General features: G+C 37.1%; 2 annotated features.

The window, feature by feature from the left end:
- Positions 18,796–19,785: an enhancer, noted in NCBI's record as "H3K4me1 hESC enhancer chr7:115826195-115827184 (GRCh37/hg19 assembly coordinates)". NCBI's record gives its function as "activates a minimal SCP1, AML or CMV promoter by ChIP-STARR-seq in naive H9 embryonic stem cells {active_cell/tissue: H9 hESC(naive)}" and the evidence as "EXISTENCE:reporter gene assay evidence [ECO:0000049][PMID:30033119]".
- Positions 19,786–20,777: an enhancer, noted in NCBI's record as "H3K4me1 hESC enhancer chr7:115825203-115826194 (GRCh37/hg19 assembly coordinates)". NCBI's record gives its function as "activates a minimal SCP1, AML or CMV promoter by ChIP-STARR-seq in naive H9 embryonic stem cells {active_cell/tissue: H9 hESC(naive)}" and the evidence as "EXISTENCE:reporter gene assay evidence [ECO:0000049][PMID:30033119]".

Raw genomic sequence — 21,459 nt, 5'->3', positions numbered from 1 at the left:
TTCTATTTTCTATCTCTTAGGAATCTATTTTGGGTGACCAGTTTGGTGGATATAACACACACCTTAAGGCAGGAAACAAAAGTGGAGAAGAAAATTTGATTGAGAAAGATAATGGGTTTTGTTTTGTGTGTATTGATTTGGCAAGGCCAATAGGATATGAGTCTGGTGGACAAAAGAAACATCAGGGCTGAAGATACAGATGATGCTACATACACAAGTACACATACATAAACATATATACATATACACACATAAATACACATACGGAGTAAACACTACATATGCCAGGGAAAATAATTATTGAAAACTTTTCTATACTAGATGAGGTAAACATTTCAAGATGAAAATGATACACCTGTCTCATCAATTATTAATGTGGTCCCAGGAGGCCTCTTTAGAGATGTTAATCATTTATTAACACCTGTCATAGGAACTCCTTTGTGAGCCTGACACAGCTATTATTCCTCATTAGCAGGTTGTATAAGATTACAGGTTGTTCTCTAGGGATATTTTTTAAAGAAAATAGGTGCCAATGTAGCTTAGAGCAAACTAATATCCCATAACTTTTTTAATTGACCAAAAATTGGGGATTGACTAAGTAAATAATGGATGAGCCACATGACAGATTTAGCATAGTTACTGATCAATGATACTTAGGAATGTTTGTAATGGAAAACAATTATAATGTTATAAGAACAGAATATAATATGGAATTGTATATACAGTATGCTCACAGCTATACAAAAATACCATGAATAGAAAAAGAACATGAGGGAAATACACTAAAATGTCACCCGCAGTTTGCCTTTGATTGGTGGGTCCATGGGGATTTCTTTCCTCCTTTTAAAAATATTCCATGATTAGTATGACTATTTTAAATGGAAAAACCTTATTTAAAAATACATTATTTCAAGCATTTTAGGGGGACAGAGGAGTGTCTGTGTAATTTTCAATCTCTACAAAAATCTACATTAAGAAATAAACAAACAAACAAAAACCAGATCCACTAATTAGCAAAACCAAATGCCCAGGGATAAACTTTACAATAAAACTTGGTAATAAGGTACCTTCATAAACCCCAGAACACAAGAGGTGAGGGCAAACCACCGAAAGCCACAAGACATATATGCATAAAAGATTATGTTTTGAGGAGGGAAGAAAATAATGGAATGGTGTCTGATGGATGGAAGAACTAGAATGCTCTCCTCCAGTTATTTATTGTAAAGCGTTTCAGGCCAATTTTATAATAGCAGCTGGAAAAGTAAAAAGGATCAAAGGGAGGGAATGAAGCCATCTAGCCCTTGTGCTATGTCAAAGCTGACCCTCCAGGACTCTCTTCTAGGACAAGTTTCCACAATCAGAAGTTGCTTAGAGAGAAATCAAAGTTGAGCAGGATGGGGCAGTAGAGGCAATGGAAATAAGTCTAGAAGGGCACCATCCAATTTGGTAGCCACTAACTGCACGTGGTTATTTCAATTTTAATTAATTTTATTTAAGTTTTAATTAGTTAAAATTAATTAAAATTTAAAATTTGGCTTCTCAGTCACACTGGCCATGCTTCAAATGTTCAACAGCCAGAGAGGGGAGCAGTATCAGGAAATCTCAAAAGTACTGCTGTATTTTTTATTTATTTTTATTTTTAGCACTTTATAAAAACAAGGAGGCCAGGTGTGGTGGCTCACGCCTGTAATCCGAACACTTTGGGAGGCCGAGGCGGGAGGATAACCTGAGGTCAGGAGTTCAAGACCAGCCTGACCAACGCGGTGAAACCCTGTCTCTACTCAAAATACAAAATTAGCCAGGCGTGGTGGTGCATGCCTGTAATCCCAGCTACTCAAAAGGCTGAGACAGGAGAATCGTTTGAACCCAGGAGGCAGAGATTGCAGTGAGCCAAAATCACACCATTATACTCCAGCCCGAACAACAAGAGCAAAACTCCGTCTCAAAAAAATTAAATAAATAAATAAATAAATAAAATAAAAACAAAGAAAGATGGAGCTAAGTTGGGCAAGATTTTCTGAACCTTGCATTATTATAAAAGTTCAGGAAAACTAATACCACATGAAAATGAGCAACAGCAAATTATCAAGATCAAATTCCATAAAAGTTGTCATAACAAAAAAAGAGAAAAAAGGAGCAGCATAACATCACTACAGATAGTGAAAGAGCATCAGAAAAATGTGTCCACAAAACAAAACTATAGGCTATTATTTTAGAACAAGCTAAAAGGCATTAACAAGATAATATATGTAAAGGATCACACAAATCAGAATTAGAAAAACTAAGAAGTGAGTTGAGAGAACTTAGGAAAAAATTAGAAATGAAGAAAACAATATTAACAAAATGAAGACTAAAGTAAAAGAATAAAAGAGCAAAAAACTGATAATGGCTAAGACCAATACAAGGCAAAACAGAAGAAGAATATTTAAAAAAGATACAGTCTAGAGAAAGTAACAAGTATTGAAAATAGACTAAAAAGATGAAACACAAGGATGATAGGAATCCCTGAAGAAGAAAACCAAACCAAAGGAAAAAAACAAATACTAAGAGCTATAATTAAAGAAGTATTTCTTGAATTAAAAAAAGATTTAAAACTAGATATTGAAAGATTGCTCTACATACCTGACACTATCAACTCAGAAAAATCAACACCAAAGCATAATCTAGTAAAATTACTGGACTTTGAAGAATGGGGGGAAAAATCCTTTGGGTATTTAGATTTTTTAAAGTGTATATAACTTAGAAAGAAAATTATATTATCATCTGACATAGTAATCCCTTTAGGTCAGAAAAAAATGGACAAACAAGATATTTAGGAAAGATACTGTGAGCCAAGGATTTTATTTGAAGTGACTTTCAAGTGTAAAGGACACAGACAAACTTTTATCAACATACGAGAACTCAAGAAATATTGGTCCCATCAGCCCTTTATGAGGAATCTATAGAGAATGAGCTTCAGACAACCAAAGTTACTGGAGAGATATTGGAATAAGGAGGTGAGTGTTAACTATATAGACAACTCTTATAGAACAAAAACTAAATGAGGAACAAGGAGAGAGTGTAATGTATATTAACCATATGATCTGACAATGTAGATATAATAAAAATAAAATGAGAGGAAAGCATATACAAATTTTAACAGACTTTCAATATTCATATTGGTGGTAATATTAGCATTAGTAATCTGCTGCTATGCATATAATAGGAAGTAAGACAAATGAGTAATCAGGGGATAGTCTAATTTTATCATCCCCTGTCATCTTGACAACCAGGATTTGAGGTGTAGAAGAAAGAAGTTAATCTAAATTCCTAAAACTATAATAGTTTTGAATTTGACTTTCTCTCTCTTTACTAGCTCTTTCCACAGAGAAGGGCTACAATGACTAACTTAGTAGCAAAGAGTATCTCTAGAACCCAGATTGTGATCTTGAAATAAAATTTATCACTAAAAGGAACCTAGAACTTCATGGAAAAATTACTGATTCCAGCTCTAAAGCAGAAAATGTGTAAGTTAAGCCTGAAACATGTTGTCATAGAAGAGAGCAAGGAGGGTATGAAAAACTACTGGGTTCATGTCAAAAGAAGTTAGAAGCCAGCTTGAAGAGTCTCTTGCTGGCCAAAAATTGGTCAACTTGAGCTTCAATAATAATAACAATTACAGTAAACTAAAACCCATCAAATATCTATAAATTCATAATAATATTTTTAAAACGAGCCATCTTTGGAGAATAATAGGGAAGCATTTAACAATCTAAAGAATTAGTAAGTAAAGAGAAAGAATCAAGGATTTATTGTATCTTTTCAATATGAACTGTACCACTGGATAACCAAATATTAGAATGTGTCTCTTTATAGAAGTATTCCAACTAATACATTAAAAATGATAGAATTAGAATATCACCATTTCAAAACAATGAGTAAAATCAGTATCGCTGACTGCTGCCATCATAAAACGAGACACAATCTGACATTACGTGTCAAACACCTCCCATAGGGCTACCAAAGGGGTAACACCTGAATCTGGTCCAATCTTTGTATCCAGCTGCCAATTGGCAGGAAATGCCATGGACAGAAGAACATATTGAACTACTCCAAGAACACCAAATCAGCAAAATCCAGACTGCAGGAAACTCTACAGATCAAATGATCTTGGTTCTTCAATATAAAATTCTAAGGAAAAGAAAGGGATGAAAGGAGTACCTATAGATTAGGAGACTTAAAAAGACATATCAATTATTTAAAAATAGGCGAGGATAAAATTAAACCATAGTGTCTAGGGATACGAGTTTGAATAATGAAATTCTTTAAAAATGCAGGAAGTAATTGGCATTTAAAAAATAAGGAAAATGGTTACTAATGGGGACAGGAGGGGCTTATGATTGAGATGGAGCAAATAGACAAGGTTTCTTGTGTACTCACCAAACTTCACAGAATAAGGAATCCCAGAAAGCTAATGGGGCATCTCTGTTCTAAACAGAAAATAATAATTCCCAGTTACATCTATTCCTTGTGTTCTTGATACACCAACATGCCTTTTTTTCATTCATACCCCCCCAGCTTTGCCAAAATACATCTGTTTCATGTATAAACACAAATTTAACTCTTCCCAGCTCAAATATAACAATTGCATCTAACTCTAAATCTAGGATATCTGGATGATACAAATTAGTCTCAATCAGGTCTATACGTGGTTTATCATGATTCTGTTCAAATGAGCTAAATGATAAACATAACCAACAGCCAACTTAAACAATGTAAAGTGGGTGTATCAAGTTACAAGGGCTGCCATAACAAATTACTACAAACTGGATGGCTTAAAATAACAGAAATTTATTATCTCATGGCTCAGGAAGCTGGAAGTCTGAAATCAAGGTATCAGAAGGGCCATGCTCCCTCTGAGGGTTCTAGGAAAGAATTCTCTTTGCCTCTTCCTAGCTTCTAGTGTTTGCTGGCAATCCTTGGCATTCCTTGGCTTGCCTTTCCTGATTGGACATTTTCTTTTGAAACCCAGTCACCCACTTTCCTGCTTGGACATTTTCTTTTGAAACCCAGTCTAGAAGCCTAGCTAGAGAGGAACTGATGCCCCAGCTGACAGCCCGCACCAACTTGCCAAGGAAGTGCCCCAGCTGGGCCATTTCAGCTGATGTATGCAGCAGAGGCAAGGTATCCTTGCTGTCTTTCCTGCCTAAACTGCAGATTTACGAGCAAAATTAATAGTTTGGGTTGTTTAAATCTACTAAGTTTTGAGGTATTTTGTTATACAACAACAGACAATCCATTTCTGGCATCATGCAAAGCAGTGGTTCTCAACTAGGGTAGCTGCAATACTCCAATTTTGCCTTGTTCTTCACATGACCATCTTCTCTTTATGTTTGTCTGTGTCTGAATCTCCCTCTCCTTTCTCTTATAAAAATGCTAGTCATTGGATTTAGGGCTCACCCTAGTTCAATATGACCTCTTAACTAATTATATCTGCAAAGATCCTATTTGCAAATAAAGTCGCATTCTGAAGTTCTGGGCATATATGAATTTTGGGGGAACATTATTTAACCCACTACAAATAAACATTATTTAACCCACTTCTGTTTGGGGAAACGAAAGCAAGGTAGCAACAGTAAAACTTCTTGGTAAAAAACAAAAGCAATCTGTTCTGTTCCAAACTGTTTCATAGCAAATATTATATCATGCAGAACTGAGAACATAAGAGCTAACTTTCCTAAGGGTGGAGTTAGGTTCTTGGTCTTCCATTGTGTATGCACTGAATTCTTACTACCGAGATGCCCTTCCTTATCCATTGTCCCCTGTGATGACCTTCCAGAGAGGCATTGTTTGAAATTTTTGTTCTGGAGAGTAGTCCTATCCCAACAACTGTCCTATCCTGTCCTGTCCTTTGGGTATTTGGGATTTGGGGGATGCCATAATACAACGAGATATAGGCTACTTTTGCCAGGCTTGGGATTTACTTAACATTTGACTGTCATTTTTATTTCAAGGGAACCTTTAAATAAGTATTCCTCAGCCATGATACTAATGATAATTTGGATCAGATAATCTTTGTTGTAGGGAGCTCTCCTGTGTATTGCAGAATGTATAATAGCATTCTGGGCCTCGACTCACTAAAGGCCACTAGCATCCCACTCCAGTTATGACAACCAAAAATACCTCCAGACATTGCCAAATGTCTTCTGGAGAGCAAACCCATCCTCAGTTGAGAACCACTGCTATACATGATACCAGAAATGGATCATCTGTTGTTGTGTTAAAAAAAAATACCTCAAAAGTTAGTTGATTAAAAAAAAAACCCTAATCATTAATTTTGCTCAAAAATCTGCAGTTTGGGCAGGAAAGGTAAGGATATCTTTTCTCTGCTGAATACAACATCAGCTGAGATAGCCCAAATGGGACAATTCATTGGCAAGTTAGTGCTGGCTGTCACCTGGGGCATCAGTTCCTCTCCAGCTAGGCTTCTATGAGTTGCTTTGGTGTCTTTATGAACGGTGACTGGGTTTCAAAAGAAAATGTTCCAAAAGAGTAAAGTGGAGTCCATGAAATTTTTATGAACTGGCTTTCAAAGTCATGTAGTATTTGTTATTTAAGAAGAGTATGTGGAATGGGAGGTATACTTGCAATCTTCAGAAAATATAATGTTTTGCCATTTGCCCTGTGGACATGAAAGCTCACATTCTTTCCATCTGCCTAATAGAATGATTTCATCCTTTAAGATCTTCAAGTCTCCACAGCTTAGTCTGGTACTTGTCATCTGAATCAAGTCTAGGTGTGGACGATGCTCCTCAGGTGTGGTTAATTAGTATAGCTGCTTGAGTACTATTCCTCTTGATCTGAAAAGCTCTGAACTAAAGGGACAAGTTATCTGTTCTTCACACACGCTCAGCATATATTGAGATAGTCCTAGAATATCTGCTATACAAAATCCCTTCAGATACTGGTAAAACAGGAAGCACGTAACAGTCACTGTTCCACAGCAGTTCCGAAATCCAGCCAGGGATGTGTTGTCACTTTCTTGACTAGGGCTTATTCTTGCTCTTTAAAGATTGTTTTTCATGGATCTTGCTTTCACCTTCTGGGCTATTCATTCCGGTTTCCAAGTCAATCATCTTCTTTTTCCACCAAAAATACTCCATGTTTGCACCTAAGTCATTCTTTTAACCAGCTTCCAGCTTGCAAACTTGGGAATTCAAAGGAACTGCCTGTTCGATGGAGCTGTACTGACTCTGTCTGTTGAGTCTGTGCTGTTACAATTACTTAAAGAAATCTTGTGAGTTTCTTATGTATCAACATATAATACATTCTATTAGGTCAAAGCTACACCTACAAATATCTTTGAGATTATTCTTTCCCTATCTTGAGCTCAAACTGTGAAACTTTCATTGGATAACACATTTATTATTCTTATAAATCTTTTCTTTTTAATGTGTAATATCTATGTGGTGCACTCTAAGATACCTAGGGGGCCTTCTGTCTCTCTGAAAGGTTATATATCAGTCACTATGTTATGTGTTTCTGAAGTCTTCACAAAGACTCTTAATCACCATCCTGGACTTGATCTTTGCCCAGAAGTCATTTCTTAATTTAAAAAAATTATTTTCCATATGGAAATCCTGGGTATGAGACACAGGTTTACTTTAGAACCCAGGAATTGACAGTCTTTTTTGTCTAATATTGCATTCTTTAGTTCTTCTCTCCTCTCACATTTTATCATAGGTGCCCTTTTAATATTCTGCAATCATCAAATTTTAGGTACATTTTCTATTTTCTACGTTATCGCAGAAAACAATCTTGGCAAACTTTCTGCCAGTACATAGCAATTGCTTCCCTTCCTCCAGTTCCTAGTAACATTCACCATACCTTTCTGTTAAACCCTCATTGACAGCCTCCTTCAGGCCTTTTAGCTTTAGCTAACTGTCGCTTAGAAACAATTTAAGAGGCAGGGGTGACCAATCTTTTGGCTTCCCTGGGCCACTTAGGAAGAAGAAGAATCGTCTTGGGCCACACATAAAACACACTAACACTAATGATAGTTGAAGAGCCAAAACTTAAAAAAAAAAAGCAAAAAAAAAGTCATAATGTTTTAAGAAAGTTTACAAATTTGTGTTGGGCTGCATTCAAAGCTGTCCTGGGCTGCATGTGGCCCACGGGCTGTGGGTTGGACAAGCTTGATAAACTTTCAAATAGTATCGCAAGGCACTTTGAGTTTCTGCTCTCTTCTGCCTATAACCAATGCCACATGCTTCAGATTTTCTTTTTGGCAGCACTCCACTACTAGTACCCAAAAGCTGTTGTAGTATTTATTGCTTTGTGACAAACCATTCCAATGTTAGTGGCGTAACACAGCCATTTTAGTAGGCTTAGAAATTGTATGGGCCAGGAATTAGAACAGAGCACAGTAAGACCGCCTTTTTCCATGGTGTATGGGGCTTCAGCTGGAAGTGTTGAAGGCTGGTGATGACTCAGTCATCTAGCTGGGGGCCAGAATCATCTAGAGTTGTCTTTATATATCTGGTTGATACTGGCTGTTGACTAGGACTATCAGTGAGAGTCTCTCTACATGGCCTCAGCATGTGTTTTTTCTATATGGGCCAGTTGCTCACAGTCTGATAGCTGGGTTCCAGGACTGCATATTCCAGGAGAGCAGGCTGGAAGTATATGGCATTTTTCTGAACTAGCCTCATAAGTCCTGTGGTATTGCTTTCACTAAACTCTCTTGGTTGAGGCAGTCATAAAGGTCCATTCAGGATTCAGGGGACATAGACCATATTATGCAATAGTTAGAGTATCCGTATTACATAGTAAGAATATGGTATGGAAAATATTTTTGTGTCTAACTTTAGAAGACACAATCTGCTACACTTACCGAGTAAAATATTTGTATCTAGCCTGTAACCCTAGTTTTAAATCTCTCAGCAACAGGTTTAAGTCTCCGTCTATTTCTTCTATCCTCAATTTAAAGGCCTGTTTAAATTGAGGTCACTGTCTTAGATAGTCAGAGATAATAGAAAGTTTTATCTTGTATGGGGATTGATTCCAGGTTTCTGTGCTTTGAAATCAGAGTTTTAGAGGATTTAGGCAGGAAGTGCATAGAAGACACATTCATGCACCAAATGATGATGTTTCAGTCAATGACCGCACATAAGGTGGTGGTCCCGTAAGACTGTAATGGAACTAAAAATTCGTACAGCCAGGTGACACTGTAGCCATTAGAATGTTATAGTACAACACATAATTCATGTGTTTGTAGTTATGCTGCCAAAACACACCCATTGTGTGGCCAGTTATATAAAATTATAGCAATATAATTATGCACAGTATATAATACTTGACAATGATAATAACTATGTTACTGGTTTAGGTATTTATAATACTAACAATTTATTATTTTGGTGTGTACTCCTACTTATGGAAAAAGTTAACTGTAAAACAACCTCAGGCAGGTGCTTCAGGAGGTATTCCAGAGGAAGGCATTGCTATCACAGGAGATAGAACTCCATGCATGTTATTGCCTCTGAAAACCTTCCAGTGGGACAAGATGTGGAGAAGGAAGATGGTGATATTGATGAAATTGACCCTGTGAATGCCTAGGCTAATGTGTGTGTTTGCATCTTAGATTTTAATTAAAAAGGGTCAAAAAGTAAAAAAAAAAAGAAGAAATCCAAAAAGCTTATAGAATCAAGATATAAGAAAGAAAATATTTTTGTACAGCTGCACAATGTATTTGCGTTTTAAGCTAAGTGCTATTACGAAAGAGTTAAAAAGTATCTTTAAAAGTTTAAAAAATGTATGAAGTAAAAAAGTCACAGTAAGCCAAGGCTAATTTATTATTGAAGAAATAAAGCTACTTTAAATTTATTGTAGCCTAAGTGTACAGTGTTTATAAAGTCTACAGTGGTGTGCAGTATTGTCCTAGGCCCTCATCTTCATTCACTACTCACTCACTCACTCACTCACCCAGAGCAACTTCCAGTCCTGCAAGCTCCATTCATAGTAAGTGCCCTACACAGACATACCATTTTAAATCTTTTATATATATATTTTACTGTACCTTTTCTATGTTGAGATATGTTTAGATACACAAATACCATCATGTCACAATTGCCTACAGTATTCATTACAGTAACATGCTGTACTGGTTAGTAGCCTAGGAACAATAGGCTCTGCCATATTGCCTAGGCGTGCAGTGGCTATCTCATTTGGGTTTGTGTAAGTACACTCTATGATGTTCACACAAAGATGAAATCACCTAACAATACATTTCTCAAAATATCCCTGTTGTTAAGAGATGCATGACTGTAACTTGATGAATCATGGGAGATTAAACCTCCCCCATTACTCTGACTCCTGAAAAACACTACTCCAAGCTAATACACTCTGGTTGATATAGGACAACATGTTCAGTTTTTGTACCTCAGTAGGACCCATGATTTTTTGACTTTTGCTAACTTGTATTTCTGGCCACAGCCAGAGTTTCTCTTAAAAAATTGCTGATCCATACTAATGGACTTTTTATTCTGTCTGATAAATCAGAAAAAAGATCCTAGCTTGTTTCTTTCCTGTAATTTATTGAAGGTGGCAAGAATTCGCCAACACCCTCCAATACCCTGACATTTGCTATGAAATCCTCTTAAGTAACAGCTTTTGTGTATATGGCCTATGTCCTAACAGAAAACTGGAAACAGATTTAACCAACTCCCTTGATATCATTTTCAAAGGATTGCTATCTCCTCATGGTCTCCCACCTCAAACAGAACTACATTTTATGGTCTTTACTTTGTAAAACCCCACTTTTAGGTATAATGCCTAAATGTCTTGCTGTTATCTAGTTGCATATGACAGGCACATAATTCGAACTAGTTTAAGCCAGTTGGGGTTTTATTGGCTTTATGTAACAGTGAGAGAAGGGTGGTTGGAACTACCTTTAAGGATCACTAAAAAGAGATTTGAACACCATTAGAATACTCTCTTTCTCTGTTTCTTGCAGCACTCCAGATTCATTCTCTTAGAAGAGTTTTTCCATGTCATGGGGAACATAGCTACAGAGAGTTCCAGGTCACATCTTCCATAACCAGACAAAAGAGGCCTCGTCTTTACAAATTGAGTTTTGAAAAACCCTGGGAATGATCTGTGATCAACTGAGTTTTCTCTTCTCATTAAACTAAAGAGTCATGAGGTATCATTATCCGCTGCTGCCCTTTATAATCTTAAGGCAAATACTGGTACAAAATACTCATTTTCTACTCTAGAAATATTTTTTTTGATTGAAAAAAACTCCATACTATTCCACCAAATTACAGTAAGATTTATTTTAAGCAGAAATCCAAAGCGGAGAATAATCCCTTTTAAATTGTTGAATAAATTTAGAAATGATGTAAAAAGCAGAAAGGAAAGATATAGATTGTTTTTCTCATGAGTGAATGTTAAGTATTAACAATAATGTTAGACATATGCCTACTCTTTTCCTCAGCAAACCCAGAAAATGTGAATAAAAGATGGGATTGTAAAATAGAAATGTGAGGCATCATAGCATTGGAGTTTATTGAGGTAATTGGCTAGGAATTCCTATGTGTCTCAGAATGGAGAATTTCACATCATTTTTAAAACAAATAATTCCTTGTGGGCAAACACAGTGAGTACCGAGTGGTATTTGTGGAATGATTCTCTATGGCAGCACGCTCCCTAGGTAGAATGATTAGAATGATACCTTTTAGGAATAAGCAGTAAGGGCTTTTCAAAGTGTTACACAGTAATCAAAATAGCAGGGGAAATGTTCTGTGATCAAAGCACCATGCAAATTTAAACAAATTCTGTATAAATTACAACACAATATGTTGTCTTAATGGGTTATTACTACTAAGTAATTTTACTTAATAATAAAAAATTCTTCTATTAAATTATCATTTAATACATTTTCTTACTCCAAACATTTACACAAGATCTCATTTTTAAAACTGCTTTCCCTTGGGTATACCATTTCCTGAGAGCTCAGTGTGTTATGGTTAATGGAAATGTTGTCATTGTCAGATTGCCTCTTAACTGTAATATAAATATGAGTCTCTGGTAAGCCTCAGTGTGAACAAAAGCTACTCATTTATTTTTCATAAGTTGAATCATCCCTAAAAAGGGATAGCACAAGTCTATTGGTGACTATTTTAGTATAGCACTTGCTGTGATAGCCGGGTAAGGAGGAAAATCAATTATAGTTCTGAAAGACATGTAGATTTTGTTCACTTAAAACTCAGGCTTTTAATCCCTGGATAAAAACCTAGCCTGGAATGCATTCTGAAAGACATAACATTTGCTTCTACCGTAAGAGGATGTAGTAACTTCAAGACGCCTATCATTTGAACAAATAGATTAGTCAAAATAACGATGTGAAAAATATGCCAAATAAGGGCAACATGTTCTTTTTGGATCGGTGAAAAGTAAATTGTGCAACAAATTTTCCACCATATTTCATCTGCTTTTGATAGATCACAGAAACTGCATCAGTGTTCCTATGCACATGAGAAATTATAGGTATCAAAGGCAGATGAATTAATTAATTGGTTTCTTTGGTACTGGTTAAGATTTAATCTCTCTGTAATCTTAAAAAATAATATGGTCAAAATATGTGCACAATTTACTTCATCCCATTTTTTCTGGTTTTGGTGAATTATTAGGAAATAGTTAATTTTATATTACATTTCTCTGCCCACAGCAGGCTACTAATTCTATTCAAGTTAATTCACCTCAATTCAATTCATTTCCCACTGAGAGCTTATTCCTCTCCTAGTCAATATGGCACATAGTCCAAAGATGTAAGATGACCTTTCATTAAATTCTAGTAAAAAAAAGAATGAGTAAATGGTAGGAAACAGTTAAATAGCAATTCAGTTATTCAATTAATGTGAGGTATAAGTGATAGACAGTAAGTGCTGTAGACTTAAAAAATAAGACATGTATAAGTATGTTTACAGCAGATCTATTCATAATAGCAAAACACTGGAAGCAATCGAAATGCTCATTATCAGTGGAGAAGATAAAGACATTATTTATATTCGCACTTTGGAATTCAACATTTAAAATGAATTAACTACAGTTATATGCATTGACATTGAACCTTATATACAATATTGGTTTGGGGCAATCAGGCAACTCCACTTAGAAAAGACACAGATGTATTTATTATACCATAAAGCAATATAAACTCAAAGGTTTAAATGAAATTATTAAGTACCAGAAAAGAGAACAGAAGAGAACTTCTTTATAAAATTATGTTAGGAGAGTCCTTTCTAACTTTGATTCAAAATGCAGAAGCTGTTTTAAAACTGACAAAACTGATTACATTAAACAATCTTTTTTGTGACAAAACCATCTGCCATTTGTCAGAAGACAAATGGCAAACCAGAGGGGAAAATAATATTCAGAATTAATATGCTGGGAATTTATTTTTTAAAGTATCAATAATCTAAGAGAAAAATGTGCAAAGGACAGAAAAACCAGTTCACAGAAAAGTCAAATAAATTATTATAAACATAAGAAAAAAATACCCAACTTCTTTCATAATAAGAGAATTTAAATTAAACCACAATCAGATGCATTTTTTCAGTTATTAAATTAGCAAAAATTAAGTTTAGTGATGCTGAAGGGAAAGAGGCACCCATATATCATTGGTATGAGTACAAATAGTATATTCTTTATGAAGTATAATTTGGCAATATCTATCACATTACAAATGTATCTCACCTTTGACCCAGGAGTCCCACTCACAGGGATTTATCCTACAGAAATACATGCACACATAAGAGATGACATATGTTATGATCTGCACATTGTATTAGTAAAATGTTAGAGAATAGTCATGTCCATTAATAGAGGACTGGTATAGAAACCATAGTAGATGTACATTATGGAATATTATGTAGTTATAAAAAAGAATGAGAAAATGCTTTGTGTTAAGGATGTGGAAAGATCTATATGTGATAAGATGTTTGTTTTTTTTTTTTTTGAGACAGAGTTCGCTGTGTCGCCCAGGCTGGAGTGCAATGGCGTGATCTCGGCTTACTGCAACCTCTGTTTCCTGGGTTCAAGTGATTCTCCTGCCTCAGCCTCCTGAGTAGCTGGAATTACAGGTGCTCGCCACCACACACAGCTAATTTTTGCATTTTTAGTAGAGACGGGGTTTCATTGTGTTGGCCAGGCTGGTCTCAAACTCCTGACTTCATAATCTGCCCACCTCGGCCTCTCAAAGTGCTGGGATTACAAGCGTAAGCCACCGCGCCCAGCCAAGATGTTTATTTTTAAAAATCAAAAATCTAGAAACATAAAAATATAATTGTATTTGCTCATATTGGAAAGATTCAAAATAAATTAATGAGTGATTATCTATGGGGAGAAGATGGAGGGGTCCATAGAGTGGCAGCAATAGGGGAGGAAGCAGGGATTTTTAGTCTATTGTGTATTGTTTTGTATTGTTTTGATTTTTTTGCAGCATGTGTATAATACCTACTGAAATTAACTAACAGACCCCTGGTGAAAAGAAGAAAGAAAAAAGTACAGAAGCATGAATATGTTATGACTGCTTTTATGTGAAGTTAAAAAACAGGCAAAATAAAACAGTTTATAATAAATACTGTGACAAAAACAAGAAATGATTAACACAAAATTCAGAATGGTTGAAGGAAGATAAGCAGGCAGAAAACATAGAAAAGAAAAAGTCAATCACTGAAGGCTATAGGGGTTTAGTAAGTTTTCCTGGAAGGAGGGGGACAAAAACTAGTTCTTGCAGGGTGTGGATTCCAGTAAATATAGTTCATATTTATATATTATTTTATAGTTTATAAAACATTACATGCATATGATATCATATTGTTTTGATAACAGAGATAAATGAGAGCAGGCACTCAAAATGAAAAAATAAAAAATAATAAAAAAAAGAAAAGCATAGCCAAGGCACAGAGGATGGGAAGGCACATTCTGCATTATGAGACTTTGAGGGATCCGCCCGGCTGGGCAGTTGAGTTAGGTAGTAATGAGTAATGGACCAATAGATTCAGAGGTTGGATTATAATGGGATTGAGACCTTATTTGGGACACCATTAAAGGTTTGTTTGTTTGTTTACAAAAACAGATCTAAGAAATATTTGAAAATTGAACACAGCAGCATTTCCTAGGCCCTGCCTAACACTGGCTCTAGCCTTCAGGCTCATCACTGATAATCATCGACATGACTAGCACTGACCAATCCCATGCGTACCAGGTGGAACCCTTGATTACTTAGGGATGTGTTGTAAAATTTCCACATATTTTAATTTTTCAATTTTCCCTGTATTATCAGTTTCTAATTTCATTTCATTGTAGTTGGAGAACACATTTTGTGTGATTTCAATCCTTTTACATTTATTGAGACTGTTGTATGGCTTAATGTATGGTCTATGCTAGAGAATGTTCCATGCACACTTGAAAATAACGTGTATTTTGTTGTTGGGGTGAGTGTGCTATAGATGTCTGCTACATCTGGTTGGTTCATAATGTTCAAGTTTTCCATTTCCTTGTGAATCTTCTGTCTAGTTATATCCAATATTGAAAACAGAAGACTGAAACATCCAACAATTACCAGTGAATTGTCTGTTTCTCCCTTCAATTGTGTCATTTTAAATTTTGTGTATTCTTGGGCTCTGTTGTTAGGTGAATATGTTTTAATTGTTATATCTTCTCGATAAATCAATCCTTTTAACATTGTAAAATGTCCTTTTTGTCCCTAGTAAAAAGTTTTATCTTATATCTTAAAGTATCTTTTGTCTGATATTAGTCTAGCCACTCCAAGTCTCTTTTGGTGACGGTTGGTATAGTGTATTTTGGCATCCTTTTACCTCCAATCTACTTACATTTTTTAATCTAAAGTGTCTCTTGTAGCCAGCATATAGTTGGATCATGTTATTTTAAAAACGCATTCTGCCAATCTCTACCTTTTATTTGGAGTGTTAAATCCATTTGTATTTAATATAATTACTGATAAGGTGGGCTTTATGTCTTCCATTTTTTGATGTTTTTATATGCCTTAGACCTTTTTTGTTGTTCTATTCCTCCATTGCTGCCTTCTTTTGTATTAAATAGACATTTACAAGTGTACCATTTTAAATTCCATTGTTATTTCTTTTACTATATGGTTTTTAACTACTTTCTTAGCCCAGGGATTATAATTAACATCTTAATTTAGGACAGTCTAGCTTGGATTAATACCAACTGAATTACAACAGGATATATTAATAAAAACTTTGCTTCTATAGAGCTCAATTTCCTCTCTTTTCCTTGGTACTATTATCTTACAAATTATATGTTTGTGTATTTTGTATCTATCAACAAAGGTAGCAATTATTGCTTTATATCAGACAGAAGAAAAAAGTTACATTAAAAAAATTTATACCAGCTTTTATATTTGTGTGTTTTCCTTACTAGTCCTCTTTATTTCTTCATGTGGATTCAAATTACTATATATGTCCTTCCATTTGAGCCTGAAGGACTTCCTTTAGTATTTATTTTAGGCTAGGTCTGCTAGCAGCAAGTTATCCTAGTTTTTCTTTATTTTGGAATATTTGAATTACTCCTTCATTTTTGAAAGACAGTTTTACAAGATATACAGTTCTTCACTAATAGTTTTTCTCTCAGCACGTTAAGTATATCATCACACTGCCTCCTGGCTTCTACAGTTTCCAATGAGAAATCAGCTCTATCTTGTTGAGGATGCCTGTGTATGATGAATTGCTTTCCTATTTTGTTGCTTTCAAGAGTCTCTCTGTCTTTCTAGCTTACAATGGGTTAATTATAATCTGTTTAGGTGTGGCTTTCTTTGAGATTATCCTACTTGGAGTTCATTAGTCTCTATGAAAGTGTAAATTTATGTTTTTCTTAAAGTTTGGATAGTTTTTATTCATTCCTTCTTCAAATATTCTTTCTGCCCCATTTTTTTCTCTCCTCTCCTGGGATATTATGTGTATGCTTCATGCATGATGTTATCCTAGAGGTCACTGCAGCTCTATTTATATTTCTTCATTCTTTTTTTTTTTGAGATGGAGTCTGGCTCTGTTGCCCAGGCTGGAGTACAGTGGTGCACTCCTGGCTCACTGCAACCTCTGCCTCCCAGATTCAAGTGATTCTCCTGCTTCAGCCTCCTGAGTAGCTGGGATTAGCTGGGATTACAGGTGCATGCCACCATGCCTGGCTAATTTTTTTGTATTTTTAGTAGAGACGGGGTTTCACCATGTTAGTCAGGCTGGTCTCGAACTCCTGACCTGATGATCCACCTGCCTTGGCCTCCCAAAGTGCTGGGATTACAGGTGTAGCCACCACGCCTGGCCTCTTCATTCTTTTTTCTTTCTGTTTTTCAGACTGGGTAATTTCAATTTTTTTACATTCAAATTACCTGACTCTTCTACCTCCTCAAGTCTGCTCTTCAACCCCTCTAGTAAATTTTGTATTTTAGTCATTGTACTTGTCAACTCCAAGTCTCTCTTTGTCTCTTTCTGTTTTTTTTTAATCATTTCTATATCCTTATTGATATTTTCTATTTGGTGAGACACTGTCTCCATGTTTTCTTTTACTTCTTAAAACATAGTATTCCTTAGTTCTTTTACATATTTAAAATATATTATTTAAAGAGATTCCCCAGTAAGCTGAACATCTGAACTTCCTTAAGGCAATTTTTATAAACTGCTTTTTCTCCCCTGTGGATGGGCTATTCCCCCTTATTGCTTTATATGTCTCATAATTTTTGGTTGAAAACTAGATTTTAAATAATATAATGTGACCAATCTGAAAATCAGATATCTCCCTCCCCCAAAACATTTTGTTGTTGCTGTTTGTTTTCATTGTTTGTTTAGTGACTTTTCTGAACTAATTCTGTAAATACTGTACTCTTTATTATGTGTGAACACTGAAGACTCTGCTTGGTTATCTTAGGGGTCAGCTAGTGATTGGACAAATACTTCCTTAAATTCTTGAAACCAATAAGTCTCCCAGTCTTTGTTGAGGAATTCTGTGTGTGGTGGGGCATGCCTTCACCACTCAGTCAGGCACTTACCAACTCTGCAATAGCTTTCATTACCTACTTGCACAGAGCCTCATGTTAGCCAGTAGTAAATCTTAGGGCCTTCTCAGGTTGGCCCTGGGCAGACACATAGCACTATGCATATATGTGGCCTTCTACATTCCCAGTGACATGGCAGAGCTTTTCAAAGCCAACTATGGATATCTAATTTCCAAGCTTCTCCTTTTAAGTTTACAGGTTAGCCTATCATTTGCCCCAACTGTTTTCTATCACTGTGGACAACCAGCATGTTCAGCAATTGTCTCTGATTGTTTTCAACAAATGTCCTAGGGGAAAGGCTGTTTCCAGTGATTAGGCTGGGTAAGATCAAACAAAGACAGCCTTGTGAGTGAGTCTTCCAGAGAACCACCAGAGAGGTCAAATAATAACAACTTTTTGCATCATGTCTTTGAAGAGGTCCATCTCCATTTACTTTTTCAAGAGTCGACACACTGCAGATTTTCACTGTAATTATGAGCTGTTGATTTTTAAGGCTACTGTGGAGCTGGGAGAAGGCTGAGAATAGGACAAGTTAAAATGCCACAAATCTTGCTGTTCATAACAAAATTAAAGTTTTTCTTAAATAAATTATCCCTTTAGTGCCTCAAGCATTTGGTTAATTTTCAGAGTTCTAAAAAAGTTGGTTTTGATAATTTTTGCCAATATTCTTATTGCTTTTACCAAGGAGGTAATTTTTAAAGATGTTTACTCCAATATTTTTACTGATATAAGCATAGGCTACTTGGAGAAAGTAAAGAGAGGGGGCAAGAAGAATAATAGCAAGCAGTGAGGCTACAGTTTAGGAAGAAATTGTAAATAAAAATATTGTTGGAAATTTATTATCTAGAAATGGCTACATTTCTGCAAAGATGTAACAAACTTACATAGTATTAGCAAGATGATAACAACAGCTTTAAATAGGATACTAACCATGGAGTGACCACTGGGAAGACACTGGCTGCAGTGGCGGAGGCACAGTGGGGCTGCATGCTGCATGGAGCCAGTGGGGGCCAGAACAGGTGGCAGCCCTGGCCTCTACTGAGTCAGCTGGGCAGGAGCCCCATGCTCCTACAGCTGCAGCCACCCAGCTGGGCATCCCTGTGCTCTTGGGGGCCCAGAAAGCTCCTTGCTCCCACAGGCTGGCAAGTGCCTGCTCCCATTGCCTATTCTCTCCCAACTCCCAGCACCCACTCCAGGGTGCAGCACAGTTGTGGCTGAGCCTGGGTGTTGTTGCAACCCAGCCAGGTGTGCATGCACTTGGGGTGGCACTGACAGGCCAGCCCCCTGCTGCCTGGGCCTCCTCTGGACTTTGGGTGCCAACGAGCATGGGAGGGAGGCCAATAGGGGCTGAGGGCAGCTCAGCACAGGCCTTCAGGTGCTCTTCAGTAGGAACTGCCTGGGTGCCATGGATGACATGTTGATGGTGGCAGGAGGCAGACAGGCTCCTGGGCAGAAAGGGGCAGGTCCCTAGTGAAGCCCCACCTTCAAGCCATGGATGGCCTGAAAACCGGGGGCTGGACTGTCAGTTTCAGGTGGAGTCCACAGCCTGGAGTGAGAACTTATGGTGCTTTTTGCAGGCCCGTCCATGGCTGCCCATGGACCAATCAGCATACATTTCCTCCCTTCTGAGACCACAAAAAACCCAGCCAGACTCACACAGACATCAGGATTACCAGCTGTGGAAAGGAGTTACACACTACGAGTCACCACATGTTCCGACGACCTGCCTGCGAAAAGGAGCTGCCCACTGTGGATCTCTTCTCTGCTGAGAGCTGGACACACATCAGGATGACCTGCCTGTGGAAAGGAGCTACCTATTTCAGGTCCCCTGAGAGCTGTTCTGTTGCTCAATGAAGCTCCTCTCTGCCTTGCTCACCCTCCAGTTGTCTATGTACCTCATTCTTTCTGGACGCAGGACGGGAATTCTGGACCCACTGAATGGCGGAACTGAAAGAGCTGTAACACAAACAGGGCTGAAACACACCCCCATGCTCACCATGTTGTGGGTGATGAGGACAGAAGAGCTGCAGACCTTCGGGGAGCCCAGACTTAGGGGCTCCCTGAGCCAGGGCTGTGACACCCTCTTTTGGGCTCTGTGGTTCCTGGCATCTCCAAATTTTCAGGTGCCACTGCGTTTCCCTCATCCAGTTGTGGGTGCCCACAGCAGAAGCTGCGTGCAGTGCATCTGGTCCAGCCATAGCTTTGCGTGGAGCTAGCACCTGTGCCGGCACCTGGAGCTGCCAGCGTGCCTGGCTGTGTGCAGTGGCTGGACCCTGCACTCACTCACACACCCTTCACTGGTCCATGCCTGGCTCACCCTTGGCAGGTGTGAAATCTGGGCTGGTAGTGTGAGCCAAGTGCAGCTAGCCAGGCTGAGTGGGCAGAATGAGCCCAGCAGGTGTGAGCAATACTCAGGTAGAAGGCACCACTGGCCACAGAGGTTTCTGGCTGGTGAAGAGACACCCCAAGGATCCCATGACAATACCATGGTTTGGTTACAGTGGCCTTAAAGTTTGAAGTTGAGTAGTGTGATGCCTCCACCTTTGTTCTTTTTGCTTAGGATTGCTTTGGCTATGTGAAAAAGCCCATCATTTTTCTACTAGGAAAAAGTACGGGACAGAAAGGTGTAATCTGACATTTATAAAGATTCCAAAGCTGTCTAGACAATGCTGAAAAATTTCCATATAAGCAACATTCTTATCTGAGAGTGATAATACTTTCCAGAAATCAGTACTTTCTCGGATACTCTATGTTGCTGTTTTCATACAGTAAAGCCATAAGTTTGATAGACAACACAGAGTGCTTGAAAAACCAGAAAACTCCCATTCTGTGACATAAAAATTAGAAAAAGATAATTCCATAGTATAACTATTTAGATGTTGACAGGGCATGGATTTTATTTATAGTTCAATAGAAGCCAAATACCTGGTTTGGAATATGAATGATGTACAACACACATACACACACATGCTCATACACTTAATCCTTGATAAATAAATAACTTATGTAGATATATTAGTTTTCTATTGCTGCTATAACAGATCAGTGCAAGTTTGGTGGCTTATAAAAGACAAATGTGTTACATTACATTTTGGTAGGTCAGCAGTTCTTCACAGAAATAGAAAAAACAATCCTAAAATTTATAGGAAACCATAAAAGGCCCTGAATAACCAAAGCAATCTTGAGCAAAAATACCAAATCTTGAGGCATCGTATGATTTGATTTCAAACTATACTACAAAATGATAGTAACCAAAACAGCATGGTACTGGCATAAAAATAGACACACACAAACCAGTGGGACAGAATAGAGAAGAATAAATAAATCTATGCACTTACAGCTAACTGATTTTCAACAAAAGTGTCAAGAATACACAATGGAGA

Source organism: Homo sapiens, chromosome 7 (assembly GCF_000001405.40).
Source record: "Homo sapiens chromosome 7, GRCh38.p14 Primary Assembly".
Classification (NCBI taxonomy): Eukaryota; Metazoa; Chordata; class Mammalia; order Primates; family Hominidae; genus Homo; species Homo sapiens.
Note: the sequence above shows the minus strand (reverse complement) of the source record. Positions and strands in the feature narration are given on the sequence as shown.